Source organism: Homo sapiens, chromosome 5 (assembly GCF_000001405.40).
Source record: "Homo sapiens chromosome 5, GRCh38.p14 Primary Assembly".
NCBI classification, from domain to species: domain Eukaryota; kingdom Metazoa; phylum Chordata; class Mammalia; order Primates; family Hominidae; genus Homo; species Homo sapiens.
The window spans coordinates 108,071,474-108,092,926 of record NC_000005.10 but is presented as its reverse complement, the minus strand read 5'-3'; the positions used below and the strand labels follow the sequence as shown (position 1 = coordinate 108,092,926).

The window sequence follows — 21,453 nt, the reverse complement described above, 5'->3', positions numbered from 1 at the left end:
TAGGAATCGAAGAGAGTATACCATAGTCACTCTCTCCATTCATTGTCCTTTCTTTCCTCAAAACAAAACAAAAATAACCAAATTCTGAAAATATGTCATACATCTTAACAGTATGCACAAATTCAGTAGTTACTGCTTATTTTCATTCTGTTCCCTTTGGGAAACATTCATCCCTCAGGTGTGTAATTGAAAAAGGCTGCTTGTGTTCTCATTTTGGGGAAAGCATTTAATGAGACCTATAAATGATTCTTGGCAATAGAAAACAACTCCAAATTTTGTTAATTCCATATTTACATAAAGATACACCCACTTGCCAGGCACAGTGGCTCAACGTCTGTAATCCCAGCAGTTGGGAGACTGAGGTGGGCAGATTGCTTGAGCCCAGGAGTTTAAGATCAGCCTGGACAACATGGCAAAACCCCATATCTACTAAAACTACAAAAATTAGCCAGGTGTGGTGGCAAGTACCTGTGATGTATGTGAGTAGGAACCATAGTTCCTACTCGGGAGGCTGAGAATCATCTGAGCCCAGGAAGTCCAGGCTGTGAGCCATGATCACACCACTGCACTCCAACCTGTGCAACAGGAGTGAGACCCTGCCTAAAAAAAACTAATAAAGAGACTCATTCAGCTCCAGCCTCACTCTCTAATTTCTGAAGGCCAAGTGTTATCTACTCTCATTGTATCCACCTTTCTCTGGATCGCTAAGGGTCGTTTGAAAAAGTCCAGATCTCCACTGGTCCAGCATACTAGGAGGAGGCTTTGAAGAGCTTCTCTGATCTTTAATTACAACAATGACACTAGTTAATTTTTGGTGGTGCAGTCCATTAAGTTTTAGTATGTAAAGTAATATTTTCCTCAGCCTGGCAGATTACAGGACAGCGCCAAAGCTAATGCCAGAAAATAAACAGAGGAAAGATATTGTGTTTACCAGGCAAAGGTGTATAACACCTAAATTAACAAAGAAAACATGCTGTTATATATTATTTTACTGTTACTAAAACTAAATATTTCATTTTGCTATCCACATGTTATTCTAATCTACAACATAATGTAAAGATTACAGCATATTAAAAATTTAGAAGAATTCTTACGTGTACCTCAGTTTCAGTGAAATGCATTTAAGCAAAATGCAAATTTAAGGAATTCACAAATTAAGTTAAAAATTCACTTCTGTAAGCAGCAGTTCATTTCCTAGGGTCCTGCTGTGCTAAGCTTTGTTTTAGTGGAGTGTAGAGGGTATGTGCTGTGTGTGTAAGAAGTAGGGGGAAAGTATAAGGCCTGATTCCCATTCTCAAGAAACATATGTAACAACCTACTTAGAGAAAAAGCAAGGTTCATATAAAACAAACAGCAGAGAAGCAAATAATAAAAAAGAAACATGCAATAAAGAAATAATAATAAGAAACATGCAATAAAGTACCCAAATGGGTGGTGTATTAAAGGAAAAAGTAAAAGCAGAGCTCCCTTTCCAAATCAAAGTGCGTGCACAACACCAACATAGAAAACAGAGAAATGCGATCTTTTGTTACTGTAATTTTGTCATGCAAGTTCAAATGTTTATAACATTTACTCAAGAAATTATTCAGGAAATGAGGCCGTTTTTAAGTAGCAAAGGGACTGGTCTGTGGGAAGGACTCAATAAATGTTAAATACTGTTGTTGGTATTACTTATATATTATGTGCTTTGGATAGCCATGGCAACATGTCATTAGCCTCAGCTTTCACTTTGTTTCTGTATTTTGTTCAGGCTGCATATTGTAGAGAAGAATTTTGATTCACACAGATAAGTGGTTGTATGTTGTAAGGTTTTGTTTCGTTTTAACAGCTTGCTCTGCTAACGTCACATTGTGATAGTCTTCAGTTAAATAAGAGGGCAAGAAGAGTTTCTTTTAAGCAGCACCCCCACGCACACCCAACAGAGGAAACAACAACAACAAAAACTTAGTGGCACAAGTTAAATAATTGGTTATTTTAGTATACAAAAAGAGATGATAGTGACTATGTATTCATGTTTAACCTATAAAATACAACCAGGCATTTGAAAACCCCTTAAAATATCCTCAAGTAAAACTAACTTTCCAAGGTATGTGCTCTGAGAAACCCCGGTAAGTCTTGTGAGATAGAGGGTCAACAAACCACCTAGTCCATTGGCCAAATCTGGCCAACGCCTGTTTTTGTATGGCCCACATGCTAAAACTGACTTTTATATTTTCAAAGGTTGAAATAAATTTTTAAAAAAGAAAGATAACTTATCATGATATGAAAATTATATGGAATTCTAGTTAATTACCTATAAATTAAATTTTATTGGAACACACCCATGTTCATTCACTTACATATTGTTTACAAATGCTTTTCTGCTACAGTGGCTGAGCACAGTAGTTGTGATAGAGACCATATAGCCTGCAAAGCCTAAATTATTTACTATCAAGCTTTTTACAGAAAAAATTTGCCAACCTCTTCCATAAGAAATATTATGGTGGAAAAAAAGGGGGGACCATTAAATGCTGAAGCCAGGGAAGGCATTGTGAAAGGGTGGTCTTGATTCAGGCTATTTGGGTAGGCTAAGGAAGGTCCACACAATGAAGGGAAATACAAGGGAGAAAATGTGGAAGACTGAGGGTGAATGGCTCCCATGTGGTATGCCATAATCAAATTCATACATGGGAAGCATTTTTAAGATGTCTATAATTTGTCAAAACAGGAGATTTTATCTACTCAGATTATTTAGTGATGATACATGTTACTAATTATTTCTTTATGTTATGATTAAGCTTATTAAAACATTCAATTTTGGCTGGGCATGGTGGCTCACACCTGTAATCGCAGCACTTTGGGAGGCCAAGGCGGGTAGATTGCTTGAGCTTGGGAGTTCAAGACCAGCCTTGATCAACATGGCTAAACCCCATCTCTACAAAAAACGCAAAAATTAGCTGGGTATAGTGGCACACACCTGCAGTCCCAGCTCCTTGGGAGGCTGAGATGGGAAGATTGCTTGAGCCCAGGAGGTCGAGTCTACAGTGAGCCGTGTTTGTGCCACTGTACTCCAGCCTGGGTGACAAAGTGAGACCCTGTCTCAATACAAAACAACAACAACAACAAAAGCATTTTACTTATATTTATTTAACTCTTTGGTCATTCTTTTAACAAATATCTCTTGAGTGCCTATTGTGTATGAGGCAGTTTGTCAGGAACCTCAGTTATAATGGTGAACAAAACAAAAACTAAACAAGGGGAAAAAAGCTGTGGGTCTCAGCCCTTTTAGGAACTTACCGTCTATGGGGAAGAAGGAGGTTTCTCAAATAATCACAAACAAATACAGAATTTTCCTAGGAAAGCCTATAATTGACATCAAGGATGTGAGCAGGTCCAGAATCAGAGGACCATGAGGATCTTCCCTGAGGAGGTAGAGATTAAGAAGAGATTTAAGGAAGAAGCAGGGGTTATTCTGGGGATGGTATGGGAGAGTGGTGAGCATTTGGGTTAGAAGGAAATATAGGTGCTAAAGGTCCATGGTAGGAGTTAAGAGTGAAAATCAGCTCCTGTGGCCAGGTATAGGAAAAAGGAAGAGATTAGTGTGGATGGAAATTGAGGCAAAAGCCAGAAGATGTCTGGCCTTGTAGCCATATTAAGATTTTTGGTCTTTACCCCAAAAGCAGCAACACTGCAATGTTTTAAACAAGGGGCACAAATTCTAACTGGCTCGCAAGACCAGTTAGAAGGCCATTGCAGTCCAAGTGAGAGATGAGAGCATTTCGTTTTATGATAGCACCAATAGGGATAGGGAAAAGTACATAAATTCAGAATACCTTTTGGAGGCTGTGCCAACAGAACTTGATGGATTTGAATATGGGGAGACAGTGAAGGAAAGAGGGATTTTACGTAAAACTATTTGGTTTTGGTTTTTCTTTACAGGATGAATAGCAGCACCATTCTCTGAGATAGGCAATTTGGGAGGAGGCCTGTCAAAAGTTCACTCTTTGGCAGGTGGAATTTGAGGTGCCTTTGAGGCATCCATTTGAAATGTTATGTGAGTTATCTGTGTATAAGTGAACTATGCTTATCTGTGTATTAGTAATCTGTTGATAAGTGCTGCTTTAGAGCCATGAGTATGGCTGAGAACACCAGAGATTGCTAATAGAGTGAGAAGGGATAGAGGCCTTGGACCAAGATATACAGGTATCTTTTTTTTTTTTTTTTTTTTTTTTTTTTTTTTTTTTTTTGAGATAGAGTCTCGCTCTGTCGGCCAGGCTGGAGTGCAGTGGCACAATCTCGGCTCACTGCAACCTCCACCTCCCAAGTTTAAGCGATTCTCCTGCATCAGTCTCCTGAGTAGCTGAGACTACAGGTGCGTGCCACCATGCCCAGATAATTTTTTGCATTTTTAGTAGAGATGGGGTTTTACTGTGTTAGCCAGGATGGTCTCGATCTCCTGACCTCATGTTCCCCCCGACTTGGCCTCCCAGAGTGCTGGAAAGTATACAGAGGAGAAGCAGAAAAATGGGAATAAAACTAGAAAAGTTTAGTGTGGTAGAAGTCAAAGGAAGAGAAGTGTCAAGGGAACAATAATGCTTTAGAAAAGTCAACAAAAAGAGATTGATGAATGTCCATGGATTTTGTGAATTGAATGTCTTTGGTGACCACAGCAAGAAATGTTTTGATGAGGCAGTGAGACTAGAATCCCTAAATTATTATCAAAGTTCTTTATACCTTTAAATATATTAGTTGTAAAGAAAACCTACAATCCCAGGTGTGATCTTTTCATTGTTCAATTGATCTCCAGGTTTATAATGGCAGTTAATTAAAAATGGAATCACTTAAAAGAAATTTGCTTCACAGCAAATTTTGATTGAAAATATCTATTTCCCATCATCTATATATTTAAATCTTACCCAGATTATACATGAAATCCCCTTTAATAAAAACGGGCAATAATAAGAAAAAGGTTCTTGTTCCAACATTTACAATTTTTGTTTTTTAAAAAAAGCGAAACTGGTGACTCATGAGAAATACATTGCTCAAAGCCTTTTCAATTTTAAGTAGGTTTCCAGCAAACTTAATTGTATTACTTCAATTTATTAAATAATGCCTTTCTGCCTCACCAACATTTGTTCTATATGTGGCTAGAGTGTTATCAAAGGAGGGTTGAAAAGGGGAGAGATGGGGCATTTTGTTTGTTTACATGTGGTTTCTCATATGTATTTAATTGCTTTTTTTTTCTGCTTATGTTTTTATAATGTGAAAGTGTGTTATAATATGAAAAAGGACAGAGATGTTTTGTTACTGTTGGATTCTTTGGAAGCAGACACTGAGATCGAGATTGGGGTATAAGATGTTTACTAGGCGTCAACCTCCATAGAAGAAAGTATGAAAGAAGGAGGATTGAACAGAGGTAAAATTCAAACTTTGATGCGGTCACAAAGATGTGTTGGCCAACCCAACAGGAGCCCTCAAGCATATATTCCCTGTTGGAGTGTCCTGCTTTGGGTTGACATGGATGGATGTTTATGCTCCGCCTCACTCAGTGGCTGTTGCAGGCTGCTGTTCGGAATAGGCTGGCTGCTGCCCCACCCTGTAGTTGGCTGCAAGTCCTTACTTTGAAGAGGGATCTGAGCAGTGCATCTGTCTCTACCACAGTATATTGTAATCTTCCAAGTAATTGAGTTGAATACCTTGTATACATTTAAATTGGTTTGGATCTTTTATGTTACAAGTAACAAAAGCAACAACTCGCACTTACCAAGTCAAGGCCTTGATAGGCTCATATAAACAGAGGCTCAGAGGTTGGGTAGGTTTCAGAATTTCCTCAATCCATCAGCTCCAGCTCCATTCACCAGAGTGTTCTGGACCTTGTCCTATTCAGTGCATGGACAGTGTATGGAAAGCGTATGTCCTATTCAGTTTGCTCTTGCTGCAGGCCGGCCTCTCTGTTGGTAGCAAGGTGACTGAGGCCCCACATCTGCATACCAGCCAGTCCAGGAAAGGAAAGACCATCTGGTGGTATGCCACGGTAGTGGTGAAAGGGTGTGATTCCTTTCCTCACACATTGTAAGAGTCACAGCTGGCGGGGTGCGGTAGCTTACACCTGTAATCCCAGCACTTTGGGAGGCCGAGGCGGGTGGATCACTTGAGGTCAGGGGCTCGAGACCAGCCTGGCAAACATGGTGAAACCCCTACTCTACTAAAAATACAAAAATTAGCTGGGTGTGGTGGCATATGCGCCTGTAATCACAGCTTCTTGGAAGGCTGAGGCAGGAGAATCACTTGAACCCAGGAGGCGGAGGTCGCAGTGATCGGAGATCATGCCACTGCACTCCAGCCTGGGCAACAGAGTGAAACTCTATCTCAAAAAACAAAAACAAAGACAGTCACAGCCAACATTCCTATTAAAAAAGTCAGGTTAACACGAGAAAAAACAAATTTATTTAATTAATGCTTTATGTGACATGGAGCCTTCAGAAATCAAGACCCACAAACCCAGGGAAAACTGTCTATTTTTATGCTTAGGTTTGATGAAGAATAGACAGCTATGTAGAAATGTGATTGGACAAAAGGCTATGATCTAATGGTAATAGATGAGAGGGTAGGTGGACCCACCAAGGCCTGTCTGTTTAGATTTTTCCCGGCCTCTTTGTGTACCATTTTTTCCTCCCGATTATGGGGCAGGACTTCTCTGGAATGAGGATCTTCAAGGGAGAAGGGAGACTGTGACCTTTCTAGGTTTTTACTGTCTGGGATTGAGGAATTATGGGGCAGGACTTCTCTGGAATGAGGATCTTCAAGGGAGAAGGGAGACTGTGACCTCTCTAGGTTTTTACGGTCTGGGATTGAGGAATTCCAGTTTCTATGATCTTCCATGGTGGAAAGAAATTCTGATTTCTATGAATGATTTTGGTAGGGGCAGAAAAAAGGGGCAGGGGATATGAGAAGGGAAGAAAGTCAGAAAGACCTTGCTTCTAAGGCTCTTCCAATGTTCTTTACTATTGTTATTATTATTACTGAGACAGCATCTAACTGTGTCACCCAGGCTGGAGTGCAGTGCCATAATCTCGGATCACTGCAGCCATTGCCTCCCAGTCTCAAGTGATCCTCCCAAGTAGCTGGGACTACAGGCGCATGCCACTACATCCAGCTAATTTTTTTGTATTTTTTGTTGAGACCGGGTTTTGCCATGTTGCCCAGGCTGGTCTCAAACTCCTGGACTCAAGCCATCCACTTGTCTCTGCCTCCCAGTGTGCTTGGATTACAGGCATGAGCCACCACACCTAGCCCCAGTGTTCTGTTGTTCAAAGTATTCAGTATGCCAAGGTACCATACACTGAGGTGTCATGTTCTGAGCCCCAACGGCACACAGTGTTCAGGCACAGTCCGGAGATAAGCTCAGCCTGGACCACATGGGGTTCAAATAGTGGCAGAGGTAAAGAAGAATAATTAGCTTAGCCTACGCTCAGCCATCTATTCTTGGAGCCACCAGTGGAGTCAACTTTTCCTGGAATCCCTTGGTTTCCCAGTAGAAGTCAGGGGCTGTTGCATAGGGAGGGGAGGCCACCAACAAACAATGTGAAATGGATTTTTGGAAAATGCCTCTGGCTGTGTTGTTGTCAGATAATAATCAGTTTACCTTACCTGTATGGGCAGAACTCTAGACCAAGCTGCAAACCAAAAACTTAGTTACTAAAAACCAGTTATCTTTGTTCTTTGAACTGTTACTTGTGGTTAAAATTAAACTTATAAACACTAAAGCTGTCGTACAGTTGGACATCCAGTGAAAGGAAGGAGGAACTATGCAAGACTATGTAATCAAAATTTGAAATTGATATGTTTGACTTTCATCTTGTCTTTTTTGCTCTGGTTCACCTCTGGGTGAAGATAATGAGGAAAAAAAGTGAAAGAATCAGGGAGCTTAGATAATTCAAAAATGTAAACCCAAGTTAAATCATTGAAAGCTTTCTTTTGGGTTGAGTTACAACTCCAAAGAGAAAAGAAAAACAAATAAAACTGGCATATAGGAATTGTAAGTGTTAAAATATTTATCTACTTTAAGAAGTTTCTAGTCCCATCTGGGACACCTATTGTATTGATGGGAAGTAGACCCTATAAAAATTTCATTTTCTTGGAGATTTTATTAGGTTTTTTACAAAACATCAGCATTTGATTTCTCTGCCTTTACTAAGTGGTTGAGATTGCAGGCTGACACTTATTAATTATACCAGATTTCTAGTTTTAATTAGAGAATCTCTTCTGAGACTAAACCTTTTTACCATTAGACTGTTTGAAACCTATGAGATAAAAAAGGAGAGTTCTTTCAGAAAATTATTTACATGAATTTAATTAATGATTATAATCTCCATGGTCATTTTTGCAAAAGAGCATTTAATCCCTTAACCAGTTTTCATGATTTGCATTTTGCAAAAACATGTTGGCCCTGCAGGCTTATTATCTCTGAGTTGTGTGTTTTTTCCAGATGAAACTTATTTTGGGTGAGTTTTATTTTGCTACTGCTCCTAGCCCCGTTTCATACCTTAACACCTGTTTCTCATGCAGAGCAAACCGATTGGTAGATAAGTAAAGTTTGCTTCCTTTTGCCAAGACAGAACATAGCCCTTGGCAAGGTTACCTTTGAAAACAGTTTTTCATGCAGAGACCGTACACAAGCAGCATTGCTGTTGCCAAGATCCTCTGACTAATGAAGGGTCGGAGAGATGGTGTATTCTTTTTCATTGCTTGCGGCACGTATATGTAGCATTTCTTCTGAGAAAAGGCACTCTAGCGTTTCAAACACAAGCTAGAAGTTTAACCTTCCAAGAGGAAGGTCAGTGTTAGTTTTTACTGATAACACAGAAGAAAGCCACTTTATAAGAATATGAAAGATAAATTCTTTGCTAAGTAAAAACGATTAAACACACTGAGCTTTCCAGCTTTCTTATGAAAATCAGTCGGAAACTATTTTACATTTTCAAAGTTTCTTTTGTTTTCCCTCCTAGCTTAGGTGTCAGTCAGATCCTTCATATTGATGATGCTGAGCACCAGTCTCCAAGCTGTGGAGACATAGTAAGGATTCCAGGCCCAGGTCCCTGTATACAGCTGTCTGCTCTGTTTTGTTGCTGTTATGCCATATGTTTTTTTGGTCATGTTTAATCATACTTTATGAGAACATTTACATTTCCAGTATGCTTTAAGCCATCTATAGTTTAATGGTTTCATAAACTCTGAGACTGCCAGGCATGGTGGCTCATGCCTGTAATCTCAGCACTTTGGGAGGCCAAGGCAGGTGGATTGTTTAAGGCCAGAAGTTCAAGGCTAACCTGAGCAACATGGTAAAACCCTGTCTCTACCAAAAAAAAAAAAAAAATTAGCCACAAAAAATATGGTGGGATGCACCTGTGTCCCAGCTAATCAGGAGGCTGAGATGCGAGAATGGCTTGAGCCTGGGTGGCGGAGGTTGCACTGAACTGAGATCACACTACTGCACTCCAGCCTGGGTGACAAAGCAAGACCTTGTCTTAAAACAAACAAACTCTGGGATGGATGCTTTGTTTCACAAGTTGGAAAACCCTAGAGAGCAGTGTTTTGTGAGTTTACATGGAGCTAAGGAAGGAATGGAAAATATTTTATTCCTCTGTGCATGATAAAAGAAGCTGCTGTCTTAATATATCTGTCTATCTCTCTCTCTGTGTGTGTGTGTGTGTGTGTGTGTGTGTGTGTTCTGAGGTGAGGGTGAGGGAGAAGCCATGGAGATGGATTGTTTCTTGCTTTATTTTCCTTGTATTAGGTAGATATTTTTCACATTAAATATTTTTACTATTTTACACCTTCTTAAATATTGATTATTTGGGGGTTATAATTTTTCAGTTTTCTTATATCTTCCCCTCTTCAGTCATGGACAACAGCAAAATAATGCATTAATTCTATAACATTTCAGCAATACTGCTACACAACATTGCTTTCTTAAACAAATGTAAATAGCTGATTGAAAAGTACATTTCTTTAAATTACAAATTTTATTATCCAACTCCTACTGAAAGGCTCCACTTACCTCCAGTTATTGGAAGAATTCAACTATTTTCACTTTAGTTCTACAATCTTTTTATATCTCTTTTGGCCAAACATATGATCACAGCAAAGTTCAGTCTGTTCAAAGATGAGGAAATAAATTCTACAAAAGGGACTGGAAACAAAACAATAATGTTATAATTTTTTGATTATTACTATTATTATTATTTTGATGCTTTAAAAATGGGATTTGTAGATGATCACTCTGGACTGTCATTGGGGTTCATGTTCTACCACACTTTGCAGTTATAAAGGATTATTTCCAGGACTGGAAAAAAGAAAAGTTGAAAAAACAGAAGAGCCTGCTACTTTGTAAAATGTTGTCTACTGGGAAATAGAGGCAGCATGTCAGGTGGCTGCTTACACCTGTATGTCACTGGAAATTTTTAGAATAACAATGACAATAACAAACATATATTGAGCACTTGATATGTGTCAGCTGTTATTCTAAGCACTTATTGATAATATTGACTCATTTAATTTTTATAACAATGCTATGAGGTGTATCACCATGCTAGAGAGAAGAAATCAGAGACCCACAGTCATATTGCTAGGAAGTGATCTAGCTGAGATTTAAACCCAGGAGATCTGAGCCTGTCCTTGGTTCAACTGCTGCTCTTTCCACATTACAGCATTAGCATTTTTTTTTTTTTACCAGAGGGGATTTAATAAATCCTCTGTAATAATCCTTCTTATTTTTCATGTATCCTCGTATGTAAATATATAACTGGCTCAGAGACACTGAGTAACTTTCCAAAGGTCATAGTGTCAGGATAGAGGTAGGATTATAGTTGAGTCTGTGCACTTCTTGGTTCCATGTTTTCTCAACTACTAGGCTTCTGCCCTCGTAACAATATTGGAGGCCTTATCTATGCTCTATGAAGAGTTGAGAGTTAGGCTTAACTCTTTCCTTCTTGATGAACTTGCAGCCCAGAGTAATGGGCTTAGGTGATGTTCAGCTGAGTCAGCAGTCTAGAAATTTACTCGGAGAGAGTAGAAGCGGGAGGGAAGCTGGATGAGAGCAGGTGGAGTGGGGCTGGAGGAATGACTTGGACATTTATGTGTGAAGCAAAGCTTGAATAATATTTGAACATGTGGTTGTAAGGAGATCCTGTTACTGGCTCTTATTTTTTATTTATTTATTTTTTGAGACAGAGTCTCACTCTGTCGCCCAGGCTGGAATGCAGTGGCACGATCTCGGCTCACTGCAAGCTCCGCCTCCCGGGTTCACGCCATTCTCCTGCCTCAGCCTCCCGAGTAGCTGGGACTACAGACGCCTGCCACCACGGCCGGCTACTTTTTTTTGTATTTTTAGTAGAGACGGGGTTTCACCGTGTTAGCCAGGATGGTCTCGATTTCCTGACCTCGTGATCCGCTCTCCTTGGCCTCCCAAAGTGCTGGGATTACAGGCTTGAGCCACCGTGCCCGGCCTACTGGCTCTTATCTTAGAAGAAGCAGTCTTAATGGTAAGGAACCCTAACTTCTCAAAATATAAATGCTGTGTTCACATTGTAAAATGAAAAATAAAATTCCAGGCTCCCCAACCAACTGAATCGATCCTTCCTTTCCGCCAAGGAGATTCCAAAGTAAATCTGAAAATCTAATTCAGGCTGTTATGGGAAGGAGGAGTCGGATGTGCCTCATTATACTCTCCTCCTTTTGGAATTCAGGCACAACTGACCAGCATTAACACTAAAAAAGAGATCTTAAGACTGAAAAAACTGACTCTTTGTTGCAATAAGATACCAAATTCCAAACTGACTCTAGTGTAGAGTCAGTTTGACATGACAGATAGCAGGGCTTGGTCAGAATTTTACCCCAAAATATATTTCTTTGACGTATTTTGAAATGCCCTTACAAGGCTGTCTTTTATGAAGAAAATCTGCATTCTGTAGAGAATCCCTTTCCCTTTCCAGGTTTCCTTCTGATCCAGGAGAGATTAACTAAGAGTCTGGCACCTTTTTAGGTCTGGTAAGAGACATTTAGCATCTATTTTCTCTGAAACCTGCTACTTGGAGGCTTCATCTACATAATAAGAACCTTGGTCCCCAGGACCCCTTATCTTAACTCAGATACTCTTTTCTACTGATTCCATGTCGTTAGATAATAATTTAACTCCTTCAACCAATTGCCAATCAGAAAATATTTGAATCCACCAAGACCTGGAAACCCCCACTTCCAGTTATCTTGCCTTTTCAGACTGAACCAATGTATGTGTACCTTACATATATTGATTGATGTCTGCCTGTAACTTCTGTATACACTCAAGCTGTAACCCAGCCACCTTGGGCACATGTTTTCACGACCTCTTGAGACTGTGCCTTAGACCTTGGTCACTCATACTTGGCTCAAAATATATTCCTTCAAATATTTTACAGAGTTTGACTCTTTTTCATCAATAACATGAATTTTGGTATATGACTCTACTGATTACAGATCTCGCCTCTACTAACAAAGTGCATGACTTCTGAACAAGATGGGAAATGTAAATGCTGTTGAAACATAAGAATTGTTTCCGTGATGGCAATTTGGTTGAAAACATTAATTTCAGAGGAAAATTCTATTCTTACTGCAGATATAAATAATTAATAGAACAGGTTATTATCCTTTGTATTTCTATGTGAAAATTAAGTTTTTAGGTGTAGATAGGCTTTTATTTTAAAAAGCACCAAAAATTTTGCTGTAAGGTAAATTTATCTGGTTGTAGTTCTTTGCTAAGATATTTGCTTTAACTCATATTCATGGGTTTCCATCAGCCATATTCACAGTGTCACAGGGATACACTGAATAAATCTAGTGCCTCCAGACAGTAGGTGGTGGTGTTCAATCCTATACAAAAGCACTGTGTAATACAGAAACACTGTGCTTAATATCTGCCTGCCTCCCTGCCTTAATTCTTAATTGGATCTGTGCTCTAGGGGGCATTAGGTTGAAGTGAACAAAAATGTAGAAACAACATTCCATTTTTGAAGCCAAGTCAGTTAATCACACAGTGCATTTCAAAAGAGTAACTTCTAAGAAATTATTGTGTAAATTAGGCCCATTGCAATTGCTGGGTAGTTAACATGAGACAAGCCTGTTTTATGCAACCTAAAATACTTCACAATTGCTACTTCTAAACCCCCTGTGAAATAATCCTTAAAACCTCATTGCTGGCACCCACAAAATAACCATACAATTTTTTTATAACTACATTGGTTATGTTTTCCCAGTGAGCCTATAATTACACATTTAACTTTTTAAGCAGAGGTTAATAATGGGATTTTTTTAGTTTGAAGGTATTTTATTTTTCTCCAATACTTCTTCTGGTCCTTGTATAATACAGAGGATTAAAACATATGTAAAGTATGTTTTGTCTTTAACAGTATTGAAACTCTACCCAGTGTCTTTCATCATATCATACAACCTCAAATACATTATTATTTCTAATTTTATTTTAATCAGTAGTCAGGAATTGTATCTTCAGACGTCCTATTTCAGAAATATGTCAAAAATTCTAAAAAAACCCTTGAGAGAGTTTCAGGATCACTTTGCTCCATTATTACACAACTATTTTTCAGCAACATAGTCTAGATACTCAGTAAAAGTTTCCCACTGGTCTCATTAAGAATCACCTAGCTTTCTAATAAGCATTTATAGGGGCCTTCTTTTTCCTCTGAAGGTTGGCTAAAAAAATCAACTCACAAAAGGCAGATTAATAAAAAAAAAAAAAAAGAAAGAGAGGTTAGGCCTGGTGACTCATGCCCATAATCCCACCCCTTTGGGAGGCTGAGGCAGGAGGATCACTTGAGCCCAGGAGTTTGAGACCAGCCTGGACCACATAGTGAGACCCTGTCTCTACAGGGAAAAAAAAAAATTAGATCGTTCAAGGCTGGAAGATTAAGGCTGTAGTGAGCTGATTGTGCCACTGCACTGCAGCATGAGCAACAGAGTGTGATCCATCTCTAGTAATAAGTAAATGAACAAATAAGAGAAAAGGCATACAGTTTATTAATCTGGACACAGGGAACATCACACAGTGATTACCTAACCCCGTAGTGGAGTACAGAAGCTTATATACTATTAATATCTTGAGGTTACAGAAAGAATGGAGGCTCAGAGCATAGCCAAAAACAAGTAATGGTGATAAATCAGGTCATAGTGGCAAGGCAGGTTATGGGAGGGAGAAAAGAGGAAGCCTTAGCTAGCAAAGGTAGTCTTTTTATATAGATGAAACCTCACAGATAGCAGCTCTCGGAGAAAATAGAGAGTAAATGCTTCTTTCAGATCTTTAAGGTGTCAAACTCTGGGTTAATCTTTCCGAGATCCCAGCTAGAGAAGGCCCGCTGGCATCAATGTAGATTCTCTACAGATGCAAATTTCCCTCACAAAAGACAGCTTTGCAGGGCCACTTCTGTTTGCTGGCTTTCTGACAGTCATCTCAAAATATGTCAAAGAAATATATTTTGGAGTAAAATATTTTGATTTCTTTCAGTTCCCACTTTGAAACTTTAAAAAGTTTCACATATGACAACCAAGCTGATACCTTTGGAGAGATTTGGGTTAGAGGTTGTTAGAGATGGACAAAGGAATGGGAAAACAACTTGAGATAAGCAAAAAACAGCAAATTTAAGTATATCATCTCATATCTTCTTGAATCAGTCTCTTACTCCTGAGCATAGATTAGTTCAGTTGAACAGCTGTGTCCCAGCCCATGTGGTGGCATTGCAGATGGGCGAGGCCTGTATATATGATGTAGGCAAACAGATTTTTAACAAGAGGCATTTCTGTAGAAACATAAGAAAAACAAAGGTTAATGTCTGGAGTAGTCTATAGACTAGTTTTTCTAGCGCCTCTGAGGTATTTTTCTGGATTGTAGTTTTAATCAGGTGTTTAAGTGAACTTTCTGAGTAGCCTATACAGCAAAACAGACATGAAGGCTGCTTATATGTAAGTTGGTGTGCGTTCTCCTGAAGTTCATTTAAGTTGTTTAGCTTCCATTTTCAGGGCTTTAAGAAAAGCACAGTTTTAATTTCTTAGTGATTCTTAGTGATTCTAAGTTAGAAGAAATGGAAGAAAAATTTGAAAATGTTAATTTGGAGACTTGTACCCAGGAAACAATTCAGGATTCAGTCCAAATTGTAGACAAATAATAAAAACTCAAAAACAACGGACAATCCAAAAATGGGTATACTATCATTTTCATTTTTTTCATTTTTTTTTTTTTTTGAGATAGGATCTTGCCTTGTTAACCAGGCTGGAGTGCAGTGGTATGAACATGGCTCACTGCATCCTCAACCTCCTGGGCTCAAGGGATCCTCCTGCCTCAGCCTCATATGTAGCTGGGACCATAGGCACATGCTACCACATCTGGTTAATTTTTTGATTTTTTGTAGAGATGGGGTTTCATTTGTTACCTAGGCTGGTCTAAAACTCCTGGGCTCAAGTGATCCTCTTGCCTTGGCCTCCCAGTGTTCTGGGATTACAGGCATGAGCCATCATTCCTAGCCTATAATTTTCTTTTGAAACACAATTTTTTCCTCCAGCCCCCCATTTCTACCAGAGAAAATCATAGTAGGATTAACTTATTTGCAAAATAAATTTTAGTCTTATCATACTTGGCCTATTTGCATCAAGAATATTGATTGATCGTGTGGGCTCTTTTAAATCAGCTTTACTAAAAGATTTTCATAAGGAAAATGCGTAAGGAATCTCAGATTAGACTTTTGATATCAGTGAGGCTAGGAAGTCAAGCCAAGTATTTACCATCAGACTTTGCTTGCAATACCTGTATGAATTGGGTGAATTCCTCTTTTTTTGAGGTCCCAAAATAACTTGAGGTTCCTGGACCTGTCAGAAAGTGATATTCTGTACTTACCTTAGGTCTGGAACCTTGTAAAAGAACCATATAGACAAGGCACCAGACCAGTCTTTCCAAGGGGTTTCTTATTGGCTCCATAAAGTCAACCTCAGTTCCTTGAAGTAGTTCGTTTATATTTGAATATGTGCCATTCCAGTCAAAGCCTGAGTAAAATAAGAAGTCTGGCTAGCAAAAATGCCTTCATTATGTAGATGAAGCCTCCCTCAGAGGGAATAGGTGGTAAATGTTTCTTTTCAGACTTTGAAAGGTGTCAGACTCTCAGTCTCTCTGGGATCTGGGGAAAGGTGTAGAAAGGGGAGGGGACATTGCCGTATTAAGGTAGATTCTCTATGGCTGCAAATTTTTCCTACTTAAGGTAGCTTTGCAAGGCCACTTCTGCCTTATGCCCAAGCAGCAGCCATTTTAAAATATGTCAAAGAAATATATTTCAGGGTGATATATTTTAATTTTCTTTAAAAAAATCACATTTTATGCTTTTTAATAACCTTTCTTAACAAAAACAAATTTCCTGTACTTTATGTATAGAATTGTTTTTCTTATGTATAGGAGTTTTAATTTATATACTTATTATAATGTTAACTCTTAATAACACTTATTTTCAGTGAAAAAGATATAAGTAAGCCATTTTAATTATATAACAGATACAAACTGTAGGATAAAGGACAGAGCTATGAAGGCAATGCCTGGACAATCTGATTCCTCCTAGCATGGCCAAGATCCACACCCCAGCCAGGGAAGATAGGGCCTGGGTGTTGTCCCCAGGCCTTACTATGGTCACTTGTCTAAACCTCAGAGTTGAAAAGCTCACATCCAAAGATATAAGCTCAAAGACAAATTAAGCAGGTATGAGAAATATCACAGACACAACAATACTGTGACCTTAAAACATCTAGCAGAGATAGTATAAACCTGTCTCACTAAACAACCCAGGCCAAAATGTTGAAATTCTAAAGACATTTCTATTTTATTTTACCAACACTTTTAAAACTACCTTTATTTACCAAAGATTACTACAATTATTGGATTTGAAAAACATTTGGGATCATTTCTTTAATTTATGAATACTCATTTGTTTTGTAAGTCGATTTGGCATCATAAAGACAATATGTAAACATAGATGTATACACATATATGCATAGAAATACAGACAAACACAAATAATGACATGATAACCTTGACTTTAAAAGTTTAGCTGTGAGAAAGGTAAAACTCACTAGTTTGAAAGGACAGTTGGGGTCAGATGCGGTGGCTTAAGCCTGTAATCCCAGCACTTTGGGAGGCCGAGGCGGGCAGATCACCTGAGATCAGGAGTTCGAGACCAGCCTGGCCAACATGGTGAAACCCCATCTCTACTAAAAATACCAAAAATTTGCTGGGCGTAGTGGCGGGCGCCTGTAATTCCAGCTACTCAGGAGGCTGAGACAGGAGAATTGCCTGAACCCGGGAGGCAGAGGTTGAGTGAGCCAAGATCAAGCCATTGCACTCCAGCCTGGGCAACAAGAGCGAAACTCCATCTCAAAACAAAACAAACAACACGGGATTCAAACTGTGCTTTTGTGTAACTGGAAAAAGTAAAGTTTATCTGTTTCACATGATTGAAGCCCTTATGGAATTTTAGAGAAAACAGTGGCAAATTTACATCTCAAAGCACAGAGAGTGATGGAAAGTTTAAGCTTAAAGATGATTTTGTGTTAGTTAGAGGAAGATAAAGAATGATGCTAAGGTAGCACAAAATCACAGGAATTTACCATAGGGTTTTGTAAGAAGACCAGTTTCATTTAGATAGGTAGCTTTTAATTTGATCTCTTTCCCAACTGGACAACTGAGCTCAGGGTGGAGTCCATAAAGAAACAGAGCCAACAAAGTATTTGCAGTTTTTAGGGCCTAATAATGTAAACATGTGAAAAACATGCACAGCTGGAAGGCAGACCGTCTAGATCTTTAAAAAATAAAGAATTTCACTTTTACACGGAATCCTGGGTTCCCCACAAAAGGGAACCACCATGGGACTGGACAGAGCAATCCTTTCACAATGAAATTTGCTACAAAGACATTTCTCTAAGTGTTTAAATCATGCCTTTCTTATCCAAATGCACAAAGAAAGGAGTAGCCTCCTGTAGTAATAACCATTTACTGTAAACAACTGCTGTCAGCTACCTCCAAAACTGCAGCTCTCACCAGTGACTTGTCAGCCATCACAGATACAAAGGTCAAGTGTTCTCTCATAGTACAAAGTAATCTCTGGTACCCACAAAAGCCAAAGCGATCGGGTAATGTAATACAAAAGAGAGCAGAGTTTTAGACCTGAGATGAATCTGTCCATGACTTTAGACTCCTCAGGAAGACAGAAAAGGCAGAAGAGAGGTGAGTGGTGCCTTTTTTGTGTGTTCCTTAAGGGGTTTGAGTCATTAGACGTCCTCTGTAGATCCTTTCATGTGTACTTTAAAAGGCAAAGAGGAAGAAAGAGTAGAGATAAATAGAATTAATGGGAAAACAATTCATAAAACAAGGAAGCAAACAGAGGGACCAAACACGTAATTTTAAAAATGTTATTTGGGCACCTAAAAAAATAAAAAAATCCCCAAAACAGGATCCAAAAAGAGAAGAAGCAGAAAGTCCATTAAATACATATATTGAAAACTAGCTTTTAATTAAGCTGACTTCTGACTGTAGAGCTCCTTAAAAAAAAAAAAAAAAAAATCTTTTCAAATCTCTTATCAGATTTTAGCTAGGACAAACTGCCGATAACCCTGGCTTTTAAGTTCCTTTTTATGAAAGATATTCTCTGAAGTTAAATGGGTACCCCAAAATATCAAAGGTCACACAAATATCAAACCAAAATGGACCGCTCATATTAATGTGTACACTGGGAGCATCACAGTCCCCCAGTGGGGTACAGTTTTATACATTCTTGAGGTTACAGAAAGAATGGGGGCTCAGAACATAGCCCAAAACAGGTAATGGTGGTAAATCAGGTTATAGAGTCAAGAGGCTATGGGGGAGAGTGGAGCCTTGGCCAGTGTGTTAGTCTGTTTGCATTGCTATATAGGAATACCTGAGACTGGGTAATATATAAAGAAAAGAGGTTTATTTGGCTAACAGTTCTGCAGGCAGTAGAAGCATGGCACCACCATCTGCTTGGCTTCCGGTGAGGCCACAGGAAGCTTGCAATCATGGCAGAAGGTGGAAAGGGAGCCAGTTTATCACATGGTGAGAGAGGGAGCAAGAGAGAGAGGGAGGAAGTGCCAGGCTCTTTTAAACAATAGATCTTGTGTGAACTCTTGCTTATTTATTTATAAATATGACACTGAGTGCTTTCCATGACAATAACCTTAACATGTTGGATTTTCAGGGAAACTTGTTTATAGTGTACTGTAAAGCCTCGTTATGTTTGTCTTATTATCTTCATCTGATGAGCCTTCCAGATAGAGCAGGTTAATTACTTGCTGTATATTTTTATTTCTATATTACTTGCTCTAGTTTTTTAGTTTTGGTTATTTTTCGTTTCTTCATGTGTAATATTTTTTATGGTTTTTTACTTCAATTTGGGTCCTTGTAGATAATACCTTATAATTGTCAGTAATTAAATTCATGAGTAACATTTTCTTTCTTTTTACTTGTGTCTCAAGTAACAAATAAAATGAAACATGACTCAAGTCATGTTTCTTTTCAGAAACTAAGCAGGGTGTTAATAAATATTTAAAATATGTATTCTCTTCACCCCTTGTCCCCACTTTAGCGCTAAATTTCAAAACCAATGTGGTTCAGATTTTTATCCATCAAGAGTTGTTTTTCCGATTTTTATCCATTAAGAGATGTTTCCCAGTAGATTTGGTGTTACTCAGTTTAGAAGTATAGCCAGAGTTTTTCATTTTTTATTTTGTCCTCTTTACTGTGCCTTTTATCCAACTATTGCTGTAGAATATTGTTAAAATATAGCCTTTCTGACTTCTGTAACTAGACATAGGACTAAAGAGTTTTCATCCTGAGGTAAAAATATGTGTAAATTTTAAAAGGCTATCAAAAAATAAGCATATATATTTCACTCGTTTTGTGGTCATGATCTCATATACTTTTATCTTTTTCATCTCAGATTTAGTCCTTTTATTTGTGTAACTATAGGACATCTTTCTGCTAAAAACAACATATTTCATATCAGAGAAGGTAAATGTATGTTAGCCTTCTTTTAGGCATCTGAAATGGTTCTAATGAAAAAGCGTTAATGAGGAATGAGATAATAAATGTTGTGATTGGTTGAAGTCAAGATATGGTTGAGGATTTTCTTTCTGTACTTTCTTTTTTTGAGACAGAGTCTCACTCTGTCTCCCAGGCTGGAGTGCAGTGGCGCAATCTCGGCTCACTGTAAGCTCCGCCTCCCGGGTTCACGCCCTTCTCCTGCCTCAACCTCCCAAGTAGCTGGGACTACAGGCACCCGCCACCACGCCCGGCTAATTTTTTTAAAAATATTTTTAGTAGAGACGGGGTTTCACCATGTTAGCCAGGATGGTCCCAATCTCCTGGCTTTGTGATCCACCCGCCTCAGCCTCCCAAAGTGCTGGGATTACAGGCGTGAGCCTGCTTCTTTCTGTACTTTCTAAGGAACGTTTCTGTCGATTGTGCCCTGTAACTGTTAACTGACTTGCTATTGCTCACACTTTAATTTCTGGTAATAACTATTTCATTTTTACAATATTTTGTAAAGGCTTGAGATGTTAATAAGGAGCTTTTTGGGTATTCTTTCTTACTTCTTTACACTCTGTTACCTGAACTATCTAAAACTTTAGCTAGGTATAGTTAAGTATGAGGAAGATAGACACGTGGAATCTCAGTTGAATTCCATGTAGATAAGTGTTGCTGGCATAAACATAAGAGCAAAGATCAGTGCTCAGAATGCATTTGGAAATCATTCAGGCAAAGTGAAGTACCCATCACTTTGAGTAAATGAGGTTACCCAATTCAAGAGTGCTGAGGAAACATCACTAGCTTTATGTTAGGAAACTAAGAAACAATCCAGAAGATAGAGGAAGAACCAATCTGATGCTGCAGAGAAGACAGTTTCATGAAGGAATTATTTGGCATATTAGATTCCACAGAAGTTGTGCACATGAGATCCTGTGCTAGGCCTTTGATTTAAGAAATTTTGTGATTTAGGTAATTTTGTTGGAGTTGTACTCTAAACTAGATTATAACATACCAATAACATACCAATGAGTAAGTGAAATATGTAGAAGCAGGGATAGCAAGTGTAAATGATTTGGCCTTTACTCATGAATGAAAGGGGAAAATGCAGTATTCACTTCACGATAAAGTAGAATAAGGGAAGTTTGTTTTAGGATTTGAAAAACTTGAACATGAGGAAACAGAGAAAGAGACTAAGAGAGGGGAAAAGAAAGAGAAAGAGAGAAGGAGAATAAAGAAGACGAGGAGGAACAGGAGGAGAAGGAGGTGGGAAAGGGGACAGCAGGGGAGGGAATTGACATGGAATTAAGTTGGTTGTCAACTTAGATCTGGATTGAGATTGGCCCAAAGAGGAATCC

The 21,453-nt window shown here is 38.7% G+C and overlaps 1 protein-coding gene across 4 annotated transcripts in view, besides 1 other annotated feature; it reads left to right on the top strand.

The window, feature by feature from the left end:
* The window catches only part of FBXL17 (F-box and leucine rich repeat protein 17), a 523,064-nt gene that overhangs the window by 289,172 nt on the left and 212,439 nt on the right, over window positions 1–21,453 (top strand). The gene's annotated exons all lie outside the window — the stretch shown is intronic.
* Window positions 13,888–14,770: an enhancer, noted in NCBI's record as "OCT4-NANOG hESC enhancer chr5:107413858-107414740 (GRCh37/hg19 assembly coordinates)". NCBI's record gives its function as "activates a minimal SCP1, AML or CMV promoter by ChIP-STARR-seq in primed H9 embryonic stem cells {active_cell/tissue: H9 hESC(primed)}" and the evidence as "EXISTENCE:reporter gene assay evidence [ECO:0000049][PMID:30033119]".